Raw genomic sequence first — 14935 nt, 5'->3', positions numbered from 1 at the left:
ATTCTCCGTCCAGCTTTGTTCCATTGCTGGTGAGGAACTGTGTTCCTTTGGAGGAGGAGAGGCGCTCTGCTTTTTAGAGTTTCCAGTTTTTCTGCTCTGTTTTTTTCCCATCTTTGTGGTTTTATCTACTTTTGGTTTTTGATGATGGTGATGTACAGATGGGTTTTTGGTGTGGATGTCCTTTCTGTTTGTTAGTTTTCCTTCTAACAGACAGGACCCTCAGCTGCAGGTCTGTTGGAGTTTGCTAGAAGTCCATTCCAGACCCTGTTTCCCTGGGTATCAGCAGCGGTGGCTGCAGACCAGCAGATTTTCGTGAACCGCGAATGCCGCTGTCTGATCGTTCCTCTGGAAGTTTTGTCTCAGAGGAGTACCCAGCCGTGTGAGGAGTCAGTCTGCCCCTACTGGGGGGTGCCTCCCAGTTAGGCTGCTCGGGGGTCAGGGGTCAGGGACCCACTTGAGGAGGCAGTCTGCCCGTTCTCAGATCTCCAGCTGCATGCTGGGAGAACAGCTGTTCTCTTCAAAGCTGTCAGACAGGGACATTTAAGTCTGCAGAGGTTACTGCTGTCTTTTTGTTTGTTTGTGCCCTGCCCCCAGAGGTGGAGCCTACAGAGGCAGGCAGGCCTCCTTGAGCTGTGGTGGGCTCCACCTAGTTCGAGCTTCCTGGCTGCTTTGTTTACCTAAGCAAGCCTGGGCAATGGTGGGCGCCCCTCCCCCAGCCTCGCTGCCGCCTTGCCGTTCGATCTCAGACTGCTGTGCTAGCAATCAGTGAGACTCTGTGGGCATAGGACCCTCCAAGCCAGGTGCAGGATATAATCTCCTGGTGTGCTGTTTTTTAAGCCCGTCAGAAAAGCGCAGTATTAGGGTGGGAGTGACCCGATTCTCCAGGTGCTGTCTGTCACCCCCTTCTCTGACTAGGAAAGGGAACTCCCTGACCCCTTGTGCTTCCTGAGTGAGGTAATGCCTCGCCCTGCTTCGGCTCATGCACAGTGCGCTGCACCCATTGTCCTGTGCCCACTGTCTGGCACTCCCTGGTGAGATGAACCCGGTACCTCAGATGGAAATGCAGAAATCACCCATCTTCTGCGTCGCTCATGCTGGGAGCTGTAGACCAGAGCTGTTCCTATTTGGCCATCTTGGCCGCCCTCCCCTGACTTCTTTATAGTACTGAGATTTCTAATACATTAACATGTATCTATTTTCAACTTTGCTTTTCCTAAACTAGAGGTGGCGACAGTTTCCCATTGTTATTACACTCTGGGTTACCGCCCCATCCTGTCTGCCTTTTCACTTCTTCCATCACCACTTGTATAACCAAATACCTATATTAAGATGGATGTGAAAGAATTCTGAATTATTTTGGAATTCTAAGATTCTAAATGAACCACACTGGAGTCTCCTCTGATCCCTTCCCCAGAAACCGTGTGGTACACCTGGTCAGCTTCTTCCAGATACGCGGTGTCCATTGTACTTCCCTGCTTACCTACGTGGCAGGTAATGGCAAATTCATACCCGGCTACTGCCTTTGCTCTTGCCCCACCCTCATTTTAGCATGAAAGTATCAGGAAAATTGAAGAAATCATGTCACAATACGTGATATTTAAATCAAATACAAACCAGCAAAGAAGTATGTGTGAGTTGCCATGAAAGGAAATCCTGAAACGGCCTCTGAAGGAAGAGAATGCTAGACGTGTGCTCCAGCTGCTACTTCATCAGCACAATTGCACAATTTCAAGGCCTCCTGCTATCCAGGCCTTGGTGAAATCTCATTATCCCACCTTCCCATAGAGCAACACTTACAGACGCCACCGTTTCCGTACCCCAACTCCTGTGTGATTTTCTACACTCACGAGCAGGTTTTAAAAGGAAACTTCCATTTTCATGTTTCTCCTGGGGAAATGATTTTGATGTTGAAAATATAGCCCTGTAAGAATGTGACAAGGTGATGATTTCTCCAGTCATTCTTCCACTGGAAGCTGCAAACCAAGGTCTCTGTGTCCAACACCAATCAAAATTGATTACGGGGAGTGAAGATGTTACTGTGTGTGGTTGCCAGCCTCTGAGTAAAGCACATGCCACAGTGAGTGCTGAGAATGCAGGGGAGTCGGGAAACCTTCATTAACATAAAAGCCACTAGTAGAAACCACACAGGCATCTGATTTTTAGTTTTCTTTTTTTATGATACAACAGCGAAGCATGCTTACGTCAAAACCTTTTGAATATACACAAAACACAAGCCTACAATGAAAAGTACTTATAATCTCATCACCCAGAAGCAATTGCTACTAACATTTTGGTGTTTTTCTAACCAATATTTTCAGAGAACTTTTTAAAAAGTGGGTGCATATAAAATTTTGTATGTTCATTTTTACCTTTTTGCACTATAGCAGCACCGCTGCTAAAATTCTTCATCATTTGTGAACGTTACTTGAAGTCTCATGTTTTATCCTATGCTCTCTTCCATCATTGAGCCTCAATAGGCTATTTACAATATTTAACTTCATATATAACACTGTTGGGACCACCTTTGTCAAGACATTGAAGTATTTCCTCAACTGTCTTACATATTATGTCTTCAGGAATTGAAATTACTGTTCAAACAATAATAATTCTAGAGGTTCTAGCTACATATTTCCAAGTAATTTTCCAAAAAGTAAGTACCAATTTCTGCTGCCAAAGTGTGTCCATCTCACTATAGCTCTGCCAGTATAAAGCACCATTAGTCCTGAAGTATGTTAAATGCTGTCTAATTTTACCTTATTATTATTTTGAACTGCGTATCTCTATTCAGTAGTGTGGATAAAATTTTTCACCTCTTTTTATAACTACATTTTAATTTTTGTGTTGTCTTTTTATATTCTTTGCTTTCCTGTGCCCCTTAAAATGGGTCCTGAATGAGTTTTTAATTATAATCTGTAAATATTTAGCATGTTAATTTGTTAATCATATTTTCCCAGATATTGCTTAGGCTATTTTTTGAAAAATTTATGTTTTAAATTTTTATGAAGGGAAAATAAGTTTCCTTTGTTACTCAGACACTTTAAAAACAAAACTGACACTACATTCTGAAGTACATATTTCTCATGAAAATATTTCAGCTCAATGTTACCATTTTGCTACGTGGGATTTTCTCAAAAATATCTCTTCTGGTAACATAGAGTTTTGACATAAAAATAAAGCAATATGCTTATAGACTATCCAAGAGGTTTTGCTTTCTTTTGTTTTTCTTACTTTCCAGTAGACCTCTGTGGCCCTAAATTCTCTGGGGTTTGGCCCATGAACTCTTATGTGATTTTACCCAGACTTAGGCTTAGAATGATGTGAAAGTGGCATGGTTATTGTGTTTTCAGAATCACTATTAAAAATAAAATTTATAAGATAGATGCAGGTATTCTTAAAAATGCTTTAAACAATATGTACCAAAAAAAAATCCTTTATTTAAGAAGTAGAGCATCCCGTATGAGTTGGCATTATTCCAATATCACTGCCAACACAGGAGACCTGGCTGACCTGCATGCTCTATGCCACCACGTCAGGAACTTTGCTGCTGCCTGGACAAGTATAAAATGTTATAGCAGTAATCTAAAGTGTGATCTTTAATACACCCTGCACACACACTCCACGCAAGTCCTGCTCTGTAATCTCTTCCCCCCATCAAAGTGAGACTTATGGAAGTTCCAAGGCAGCCCCCTGCCCAGGGCAGAGCTTTCTGGGAGCCTCTTTATTCTCCTCCCTATATCCTGGCTTAGCTACACCCGACCCTATATGAGGTTTGCAGGACCTGGAGAGTGGAGGGTAGGCATTATTGCAAAAATATATAGAAACTCAGACTAGACAGGAGATCTGGGCTCTCATCCACTTTCTCAGTAACTTCACACTAAGACCTCATGCAGTCCTAAACCTCTCTTGGCTTCTGTTTTCTGGTCAAAAGGGAACATGAGATACTCTTATGAAGCGCATTAAAAATACAGTTAAAAAGAGACTAAGAGGTATTAACTCATAAGTATTCTTATTCATCAACTTTCAAACTCAAACCTCTTTTCCTTACCTTTTTTCAAGCGTCAGCTTATTTCTAAGTCATTGCCATTTTCAGCCTGTATTCCTTAAACCATGGCTTACATAAGGAAATTGTTTTAATCCTTTCACAGACAGATGTATCTGTCTGATTTTTCTGTCTGGCTTCCTTATTTATAGATTAGGTGGATGAAAGCCACAGCACTGCACTGATTACCACATAGTAGAGATTTCTTTGCATTCATATGGGGCCAAATTGAGAGGCAACATTCTCCAAAAGTCACCAGGACAATAGCCATCACATCTCTGCATCATGTGGGAACATGCTGGACAAGCCAAGCTGCAGAGCCAAAGCTGCAGGCTACAACATCACAACCTCTTCCTGACAGTGCTGCTCTTCGCACAGGAAGAATATGAAATCTACAGAGGTACTGGCAACTTAAAAATATTTCAAACCTAAGCCAAAATACCTCATGCACAAAGCTACATCATTGTACTGGTTATGAGCCATTCCTGCACCTGGAGAAAGAATCCGAACATCATCCCTGGATAGTGTTGGCTGAGCAGGCAGGACCTTGAGTAGGTCTCAGCAGGGACATACAGACTTGGGCCAACATGATCACTGTCATCCAGGTCCCTGGTGCTACAAAAGGCCAGGGCCAGCGAGCATGAGACTGAGCAGAAGTGGATTTCCTAGTGGGCGAGCGGCCATCTCTGGGATGCCTGGGGAAGCTTCCCTAGGCAGGATACAAAGTTATCGCCAGGTCTCTGAGCATCAGGAGACAGTCAGGGTGGCATGCACCCAGAAGGGCAGGCATCCAGTGTCTGGAGAATGAGACACCTAAGCAGGGCCTTGGCTGATGGAGCATCAGTAGGGGTGGGATATGAACGAGGCAGGGAGAATGAGGGAACGTCACATCCAAAATCTGGCTAGGTCAGATATTTCTTAGGGAAGATTTTTAGATCCTAAGAAGCTGAATAGAGAACCTCAAAGAGAATGGCAGCGAAACATCTCCATCAGGTGTGCAATTGTTTAAGATTTCATCTTTAAGAGGCCAGGAGATGGATGGTTATTCAAGAGATTGAAATGTAACATTTTTATTTAAAACATCATAAAAGTAGATGTCTAGGGGCCAAATGGGCAAGTGCTACTCAGTTGAAGGAATGTAGGAACTCAACATTTCAGAATCGTCCCTGCTGGGCTTTGACCATCTGATGGAATTTTGAGACAGCATGATGCGACTAGTTCTAGGGTTAAAAAGACGCACTTTAATGTCACCTGAACATAACACTTCAGAAGAAGGTGATAAACTTTTACACCCACCCAGGCTGAAGCTGGAGGGGAGTGGAGTTTCTGAAGCTGTGGCACATGGTGCACAGGTCCAGCAAGTTCTCGGGCACCAGCAGTGCCCACGGTGGAAGACAGGCAGGACAGACGAGGGTGGAGGAAGGAGCCCAGGGCAGAGCCAGGACAAAGCTTGCTGGACAGTGTCACTCATGGAGTGCCCCTAGCTTCACCCCATCTGTGACAAATATTTTCAAGATTTCCATTAAAAAAATTTACTGAAATAATGAGTGTGTGCTTTTCTGTCTTTAAGTGAGGTTAAATTTCCAAGAAAGATTTATAGACAGCCAGGCCCAGAAGCAAAGTGGAGCTGAGAGCCAGAGGCACCGTCCTGAGAGGCAGCAGCCACTCTAACGGTGTGTTGCCTGCACAGTGGATGAGCTTGCAGTTCAAAGCCCGTGTATAATACTGCAACTCTTAGAGGGCTGCAAAGCCAGAGAAAGAGAGACAGACACGTTCTGCCTCCTCCTAGGACAGGGAACAACTCGGGCCTGCCTTGCCTCTGAGAAAATATCTTCAAGGAGAAATTAAAATTCCAGACCACAATCTCACCTGAGTAGAAAGTTCACATTTATGCTACACAGGTAGCATGGGAAAATCTAATTAGAAGGATTAATATAAAAAGTGGTCCTAGGCCACTGACGATACTGAGTCGTCTCAAATAATTAAACCAAAACCCAAAATTAAATGCAGGAATATTTTATCCATTGAGGCTTTGTGGGATTGAGACACACAAAACAAGCATGACTTGAAAATTATAAAACACATATGGAAAAATCCTATATGAAAATCTTACAGAAAGTACAACTAGGAGTACTAATACCAGAGAAACTTAAAATTGTAAAATACTGAGTTCAAAACCTTTAGCATATATAGGCTTTAAATTATGTAAAATACAAATGTAAGTTATATAAGCTATTTTAAAAAACACAGCAAAAAAAGAAAAAAATGTGTGATAAGAAAAGAAAGTTAGCCATAAGGAAAAACAATAACATCAGATATCTAATTCACACAATATCAACAAAATTCTGGATAATTAAACATCTAATTGTAAACATGAAATGTTAAAAATTTGAGAGTTCTGTTTTCTACTCAGGGATGTGAAGAGTTGGAAGAAATACTGCTCACACTGTTACAGCAAGAACAAAATTAGGCAAATTGCAAGTTCCTGATGATTGAGTTGCACCCATCAGAGAGCTGAGGTCACAGAGCAACTAAAGAACTCAAATTCTAGGGAGGAACCAGTGTCCATAGAAAGAGATGAGACTCCAGCACCTGCTGCCCTGGCTCAGATGCATCTGGACCCAGTTAGTAGAGTTCTGTAGAAATAGTCAATGAATCCTGGTGAAGGCCAAATGCAGGCTGGTGAGAGCCTGTGCTGCACCTGGGGGATGCAAATAATTGGGGTGGGGGTGGGGAGTTGCATCTTCATGAAGATCTTTCACCACAAACTCCACCAGATGCTCCAGGGAAGACTGTGGAGTCCTGACAAAGATGCCGGGGGGCATAGAAAGGTGATGCAAAAATCAACCTGGATCCCTCTGCCCCATTTTCCCATCACAATAAAGTTGTCATCTGCTGGGGGGTAAGATGGGCAACAGAACTGTCTTGCAGCTGAGGGAAGGGAAGAGAATAAAGACTGTCAGCCCTGGAGGAGGGGTGAGAATACATATCAGATCCAAACCTCCAGCTGGAGAAGAGGCATGGTTCTTGTGGAGGCCATGAGACCCAGGGATACAAGCTGTAAGACCAAGGGATAATCAGGACATCAGAACTCCGTCCATCCCAGGGCAGCAAATAAGCATCAGTTAAAAGTAATATTGAAACATTACTAGGAAGCATGCATGAGACAGGCTCTCCCTGAGGATCAGGGAAAAGGGATACGTAAAGCTGAAGATGGGGCAGACTTTGAGAAGAAACCTCTAGAAACTCAGACTCCATACCAAACCCAAGGTATTGCTAGGAGAGTTTGAAGCCTGCAATACTCTGAAGGTAAACACAGCAACAAGAAACCTCAAGCCCAGCACAACTGCTGACTGGATCAAGGATCAGCAAAACATGGCTCACAAGGCAAATGCCTACCCTGCCTACTTGATAAATAAAGTTTCACTGGGGCATGGCCATACCCACATTTTATGTATTGTCTGAGGCCACTTTCATGAGACAGTGGCAGAGCTGTGGTGATCCAATGGCCCACAACCCTAAAATATTTACTAGTTGCCTCTTTACAAAAAAAAAAAAAAATTATCCCGATCTTTTGACTAGATTAACAAAACCCACCACAGGAATGAATGAGCAAAAGGAAAGGTGTACATAGAACTGTTTACCCAGTGTTGAAGTATTCTAGATGTCTTTCAGGCAAAAAAAAAAAAAAAAGCAATAAATTCCCCAAGATACTAAACAGTAAACAAAACCAGACTCAGATAAGACATAGATAGTAACTGACCAAAAATTTTAAATAACTATTATTAATATGTTGAATTTTCCAACAGAAAAAGTATATACCATGAAAGATCGATGAATAATATTAGCAAAGAGGTGGAAACTGTAAGAAAAACTCAAATAGAAATGTGACAAATGGAAAACACTGTAACAGAGATGCAGAATGCTTTCAATGGGCCCATAACACAGCTAAGAGGTGGATCAGTGTACCTGACAATATGTCAATAAAATTACTCAACTGAAACACAGAGAAAAAGACTGAAAAGTAAAAAGAAAGGGGCATCCAAAAGCTATAAAAAATATCATTGGTTATGTGCATCACTGGAAACTCAGAAGGAAAAGAGAAAATAGTGTGTAAGAAATATTTTAGGAAACAATGTCTGACAATTTTCCTAAGTGATTTTCAGACATCAAACCACAGACCCATGAAACTCAGAAACCTTCTGCAGAATATATGCTAAAATATAAAACAAACACGAAACGTCTAGACACATTTTCAAATTGTTGTAAACAAAAGATAAAGAGAAAGGCATGAAAAATGACATATAAAGGAATAAAGATAAGAATTTCAGCAGAATTCTTGTCAGAAACCATGAAAGTAAAAAAAAAAAAAAGCATTGATGACTTCAAAGTGCTGAAAGAAAATAAGGTTTGTCAATACAGAATTTAATGCTCTGTGAAAATATCCCTCAAAAATGTAAGATAAATACTTTCTTAGACAAAAACTCAAGAGAATTCATTGCCAGCAGACCCACTTTACAAGAAGTGGTAACGTCAGCTCTGCAAGGCAGAAGAAATACAATACTGGGTGAAAACTTGAATCTACAAAGTAAAAGAATGTGGAAAATGTAATCAATGTGTTATGAAATTCATGTTTTTTTATTTTCTTTTTCCTCTGAATTGCTCTGAATAATAACTGTGTAAAGCAAAAATTGTAGCACTGTGTGATGTGTTCATAGTATATGTAAAAGTGAACTGTAAGGCAACAACATCACAAATGGTAAGAAGGAAGGATTTGGAATATACACTTTTATTGTTTTTATACTACACATAAAGACATGTAATATTAATTGAATATAGACTCTTATTATGTAAGGATCTACATTTTAAACCCTAAGCTAACTATCAAAAACATGAACAGTTATAAATAATAACTCAACAATAGAAATAAAAATGGAACCATAAAAATTGCTCAAAAAACCCAAGAGAGGGCAGGAAAAGATAAAGGAAGTAGGAGATGGAACAAATAGAAAACAGCTAACAATATGGTGTGTTTTAATGAAAATATCAGTAATTACATTAAATGTACGTTGTCTTAACAAGCTAAGTAAAAATACTGTCAGATAAAATAAAAACAAGACTCAATTATGTGCTATACAAGAAACTCACTCTAAGTATAAACACATGGGTAAGTGAAAATTTAAATATAGGAAAAAATATACCAGATAAACACCAATCAAAAGAAACTTGGAGCAGCTATATTGATTTCATACAAAGTTCTCTTCAGAACAAAAGTATGGTCAGGGATAAAAAGAGACATTACACAATAATAAAGGATTTAATCTTCTAAGAAGGCAGAATGATAATATATGTGTACGCCCGTAACACAAGCACTTCAAAGTAGGTGAAACAAAAACTGATAACACTGAAAGGAAAACAAATCAACAATTAGAATTGGAGTCTTCAATACTTGTCTCCCTATAATTAATAGAATAAGTTAGGACTTAGAATCACTGAAGAACAACTTGATAAACTGGCACTTCATTTGAAAACAGAAGTATATACATTTTTAAAACTGCATATGGGGCTGGGCACGGTGGCTCACGCCTGTAATCCCAGCACTTTGGGAGGCCGAGGCGGGTGGATCATGAGGTCAGGAGATCGAGACCATCCTGGCTAACAAGGTGAAACCCCGTCTCTACTAAAAATACAAAAAATTAGCCGGGCGCGGTGGCGGGCGCCTGTAGTCCCAGCTACTCGGGAGGCTGAGGCAGGAGAATGGCGTGAACCCGGGAAGCGGAGCTTGCAGTGAGCCGAGATTGCGCCACTGCAGTCCGCAGTCCGGCCTGGGCGACAGAGCGAGACTCCGTCTCAAAAAAAAAAAAAAAAAAAAAACTGCATATGGAATATGTATCAAGATTAACCATACTCTGGGCCATAAATAAAAGTTAACAAAGTTAAAAGAATAAAAAATATAAAACATATTTGCTCGAGTCTAGAATTAAAACTAGAAATTAATAACAGAAAGATGTGGAAAAATCTACAAATCTTTGGAAGTTAAACAGTATACAATATAATAACCCATAGGCCAAAGAGGAAGTATACAGGCAATTTAAAAATGTTTTGAACTGAATGAAAATTATGGAGATACCACACATCAAAATTTGTGGCAGCCAACTAAAGAGGTGCTTGGAGGGATATTTCTAAAAAAATGCTCATTTTAGAAAAGAAGAAAGGGCTCAAATCTGTAATCTAAGCTTCCACCTTAAGAATCTAGGAAGAGAAAATTAAATACTTTACTCTGATTAGTACTTTGGTTTCTCACAAGCTATAGATTAGCAATTCTGAACAAAGAAACCCAAATTGAGGGAAATTCTCCAAAAATAAAACTAACCAACGCTCTTCAAGGGTGTCAACTTCATGAAAGGCAAAGAAATACTGAGAACCCGTAAAACGCAGAAGCAGATATGACAACCAGATGCAATGTGGGATCCTGCATCAGATTCTGGAACAGAAAAGGGACATAAGTTTTAAAATCTGGTGAAATCCAAAGTCTGTAAATTCAAAGTCTATCATGTCATTTCTGTTGATAAGTGTAGCTGTAGTTTATTCATTTTCTTTACTACTTTGATTCTATTATTTGCAGATTTCATAAATTATCAGGTGTAGTCACATAGAAAAAGAAAAGTATTTAAAATCATGGTGTATCTTTTATTTTTCATCCAGCCCAAAATGTCAATATGGTATATCTTAATGGGAAAATTATTTCAACAAGACACAAAAATCACTATCATGAAAAAGATTGATACATTTGACCATATTATAATTAAAACTAGATATTACAAATAACACTGGACATGCAGGTGAAGGGACATTCCACAGACCAAGAGAAAACACCATTTACACATTTAACTTTAAAGAAAAAGATTATCTAGCCTGTTCAATCACTCCTGCTTAGATGTATACAAAAAGGCAAATAGTGTATTTGGGGACCAAAAATAATTGTGAACAAATTAGTTACAGAAAAAGGTACTGAATGACCAAAAAGGAGGAAAGATGCTTATTATGAATCAAGGGACTGCTATTTAAAATGATAGTTCTGTTTCATACCCATCAGATTGACAAAAATCAACTTGACTTGCACACCCCAAACGGATGTGAGAGACAGGAAATCTATACCTTGCCTAGGTGAGTGTGAATTAGGCCAACCACTCTGGGGAGAAGCTTGTCTGTACCTGATGTATTAGTCAGGATTTCCCAGAGAAAGAGAGTCAAAAGGATGTGTATATGGAGAAGCAGATATTTTACAAGGAATTGGCTCATGCAATTATTGAGGCTGGCACGTCCAAATCTGACGTGTGGGCTGGCAGGCTGGAGATCCGGGAGAGGCAACAGCACAGTTCCAGTCTGGAGTTCATCTGCTGGAAAATTTCCTTTTGCTAGAGGAAGCTGGTCTTTTGGTTTTATTCAGGCCTTTAACTGATTGGACGAGGCCCAACTACATTATTAAGGGCAATCTCCTTTACCAAAGTTGACCAATTTAAATGTTAATCTCATCCAAAAACACCCTCCAAATTGACACTTAAAATTAACCACAATACCTAGTGAAAATATCCATAACATCCACCCATCATATCCATCAAACCTTGTTGCACAAGAAAAAAACTACATGTACACACATACATACATATAAATAAATGCATACATATAAATCTCAAAAATTGCCATGTAAAAACTGAACATCAGAAGTATGTATTCTATGCACTATATATGTATATATAGTCACATGTACATGTCATAGATAAAATCAAATACAGACAATCCCTGACTTACAATAGCCCAACTTTTCAACCCTTATTATAAAATATGCTTTGTGTTAAGAGAATTTTGCCTAACTGTGGGGTAATGTAAGTGTTTTGAGCACAATTTAAGGTATGCTAGGCTAAGCTATGATGTTTGATAGATTAGGCATATTAAATGCATTTTCTTTTTTTTTCTTTTTTTTCCTTATATTGAAGCAACAATATGTTTATATATATATATTTTTAATTATTATTATACTTTAAGTTTTAGGGTACATGTGCACAATGTGCAGGTTAGTTACATATGTATACATGTTTGTAGGGGCATTTTCAATCTGTAGTATTTTCAACTTAAAATGGGTTTTTCAGCATGGAAACTAATCGTAAGTCAAGGAGTATCTATATATATAACTCATGCAAACATGCATGGAAATGGTGTCTCTTAACCTCAGAAGAACAATTAACTACCTATGGGAAGGAAGGGGGTTAGATTTTAATTGGCTTTTTAACTCTTTACTTCTTTTAAGAAAACTCAGGAATCTAACATTAATTTTCTAAATTTTAAGACTTATTAAATCTGAGCATCTGAGTTTGTCGGTGATTATTATGTTCTATACTTGAAATATTTCACAATTTAGAAAGAAAAATACAAAGATCAATTTGCAGCAGCTTGGTGAGTACATTGAAGAGAAGTTAAGGTGGATGGGGTATGGTCATTTAGAAAACTACTTAACCAGTTTGAGGGGTGGCTTCAAGGCTTCCATTTGGCATGCTATATTAATTTTTGAGAGTATACCAATTCAGATTTTCAAAATTATTATTTTTTCTTTTTATCAGTCTCTACTTGGTGTAAGGGAACACCAGTATGTGCACAAGGAAATCTCTGGCCCCAGGCAAACACTCAGCTGGCAGTCCAATTTGAGTTGTTATGCTGTAATTACCAGGCAAATAAACAGATAGAACTAGAATCTGAGTTAGACCATTCCTTATTAAATTATTCAATTTTCTATATGAAGGATGTGGCCAGTTCATACCCCATAAGGGAAGTCAACCTCAAGAAGACTGGGTTTTCTTTCCTAGTGCTGCTCCTTTTGCAGCTCCAGACCTGTGCGTCCTTGGATGGTCAGTTACGATGGAGTAGACATTAGAAGGCAGCTGGCCAGCTGTCATCTTTCACAATGAGACAGTATAGTGTCCCCACACTGGAACACCTACAAGTAAGATGACAGAATGATAGCCTGGAACAACCTTCGTCCTTTTTCTAAGAAAATTAGATGTGGACCGGAAAACTGCTTGTCAATATTTCAACGTGAATTTATCCCTTTGATTTTTGCATTTCCACTCAAATAATTTTAAACTTAGCTTTGTACAAGACTCCTACATTCAGGTTAAAAATTCCAGCATAACAACTCAAATTGGACTGCCAGCTGAGTGTTATTTATATCAAAATTCTATCATTAGTGGGAGCAATGACACTTGGTCTTAGTGGTTTGTGTGGCTGTAAAATAGAAGAACCCGGGATGTGTTCACAGAAGCAAAGCACCTTCTGGGTTGTTTTTGTTCTCATGACCTCTGAACCCCTTTCAGTCCTCATGCATCACTGTCCCAGCCACAGTCATTGCCCACATGACTGGTCAAGGGGAACTTTGCTGTACTTGCATCCTAGGAGCACCCACTTTCAGCTTATTTCTCTCCTACTGAGGGGAATGAGCAGAGTGACTCCCTTGAAAGGGATAAATGTATTATAGGATGAATGATGATAGTGATACTCGTCCAACTAAAGCTGAACTGTGCTTTACTCCCCACTCCTCCATACAATCATCATAACGAGGAACGGGCAAAATCATTGAATTCAAAGGCTGTCTTTCTGTTCATGCATCTGTCCACAGCTCACCGAGTGCTCCTTGTGTGTCAGAGGTTTTGGCAGGTGCTGGGGCTCCATGGGGAAACACAGCCCCTGGCCATGAGGAGTTATTCACTCAATTGAGGTCACAGACAACTCAGCAAGAGGATTTCAGGAGCCAGGTCTCAGAGAAGAAGGGCTGTGGGAGCATGAGGAAGGAGGGTCTCTGCCTCAGTGGGCAGGCATGGGGGAGGCACCCAGAGGAGCTGCAGCCTGGCTTGGTCTCTGAGGCTGTGGAAAAAGCAACAAAAATGGTGAGGAAGGGGGAGAAACAGAGTTCAGACCAAGGAAGCAGCCAAGGTACAGAGGTGATAAAGAAGAGCCTTGTGCTCAGAGCAGTTTATAACTGGAATGTTAGATTAGAGGCCAGGGAAGAAGTTGGGTGAGGATCCACAGTCAAAAGAACTTAGGGGCCAACCCGCTGGAGAGTGATGGATTCTAAGTTGCTGGAGGAGAGATATATCTTTTGCAGTAACCTGTCTCCCATGTTTTTGGTTTGTCAGTCTTATTATTTCACAATGTCACATGCATCCACCTGAGACCTATTGTACAAAATATATGTGACATAGCAGTGAACATGGTTCACTGATTCTTGCACTCCTGGATTTTCTGCTATTCATCTCTGGCAGTTACCTAAGCCCTTCGGCAGACTCAGGGCATTCATGTGTATGAACGTTGCTTTGGTATTTTCTTCTAGGCATTAGAGCTTGAAAAGTTTACCATTGTGCTATCATTATCTTGTAGGAATTTGTTTCGAAGACATAATATTTAAGTACCTAAATGCAGGATGATCCTTTCTTCCACAGGAGTTTTTGATAAACTCTTGTTTCTGAAAAAAAATGGTAAAATTTAAAACAGTACACCAGTAGACTTTATAGGTATGTTCAAGAGCTGGGTAGTTGAAAAAACAGTATCACAACACCTGAGATTATCTAATCAAGAAGAGAGAATACATCCAGAAATGGGGACACATCATCTTGGAGGCTTAGGAGATAGTAAATACTTATTCAAATCATGGTGACCACTGCCAGCGACATCCCCTGCATCAATTTCACCCCCCATCATTTCCTATGGCCACCGACCCCTCCAGAACTCATTCCTGATGGAAGTATACTATAAAGATGCATGGTTCCATCCTTGTACTGATAAAACAAACAGAAGGAAATTCAGAATATTCTGGGGGAAGGGGAAAATGTGGAGCTTGGAACTTCA

General features: G+C 40.0%; 1 long non-coding RNA gene across 1 annotated transcript; it reads left to right on the top strand.

The window, feature by feature from the left end:
* Positions 1–1090: 1090 nt before the first annotated feature.
* Positions 1091–5580, top strand: LOC124900935 (uncharacterized). Its single transcript, XR_007058682.1, has 2 exons — positions 1091–2650; positions 4192–5580. It is a non-coding gene; the product is annotated as an uncharacterized LOC124900935 (long non-coding RNA).
* Positions 5581–14935: the final 9355 nt, after the last annotated feature.

The sequence above is a fragment of the Homo sapiens genome, chromosome 5, assembly GCF_000001405.40.
Source record: "Homo sapiens chromosome 5, GRCh38.p14 Primary Assembly".
NCBI classification, from domain to species: domain Eukaryota; kingdom Metazoa; phylum Chordata; class Mammalia; order Primates; family Hominidae; genus Homo; species Homo sapiens.
Note: the sequence above shows the minus strand (reverse complement) of the source record. Positions and strands in the feature narration are given on the sequence as shown.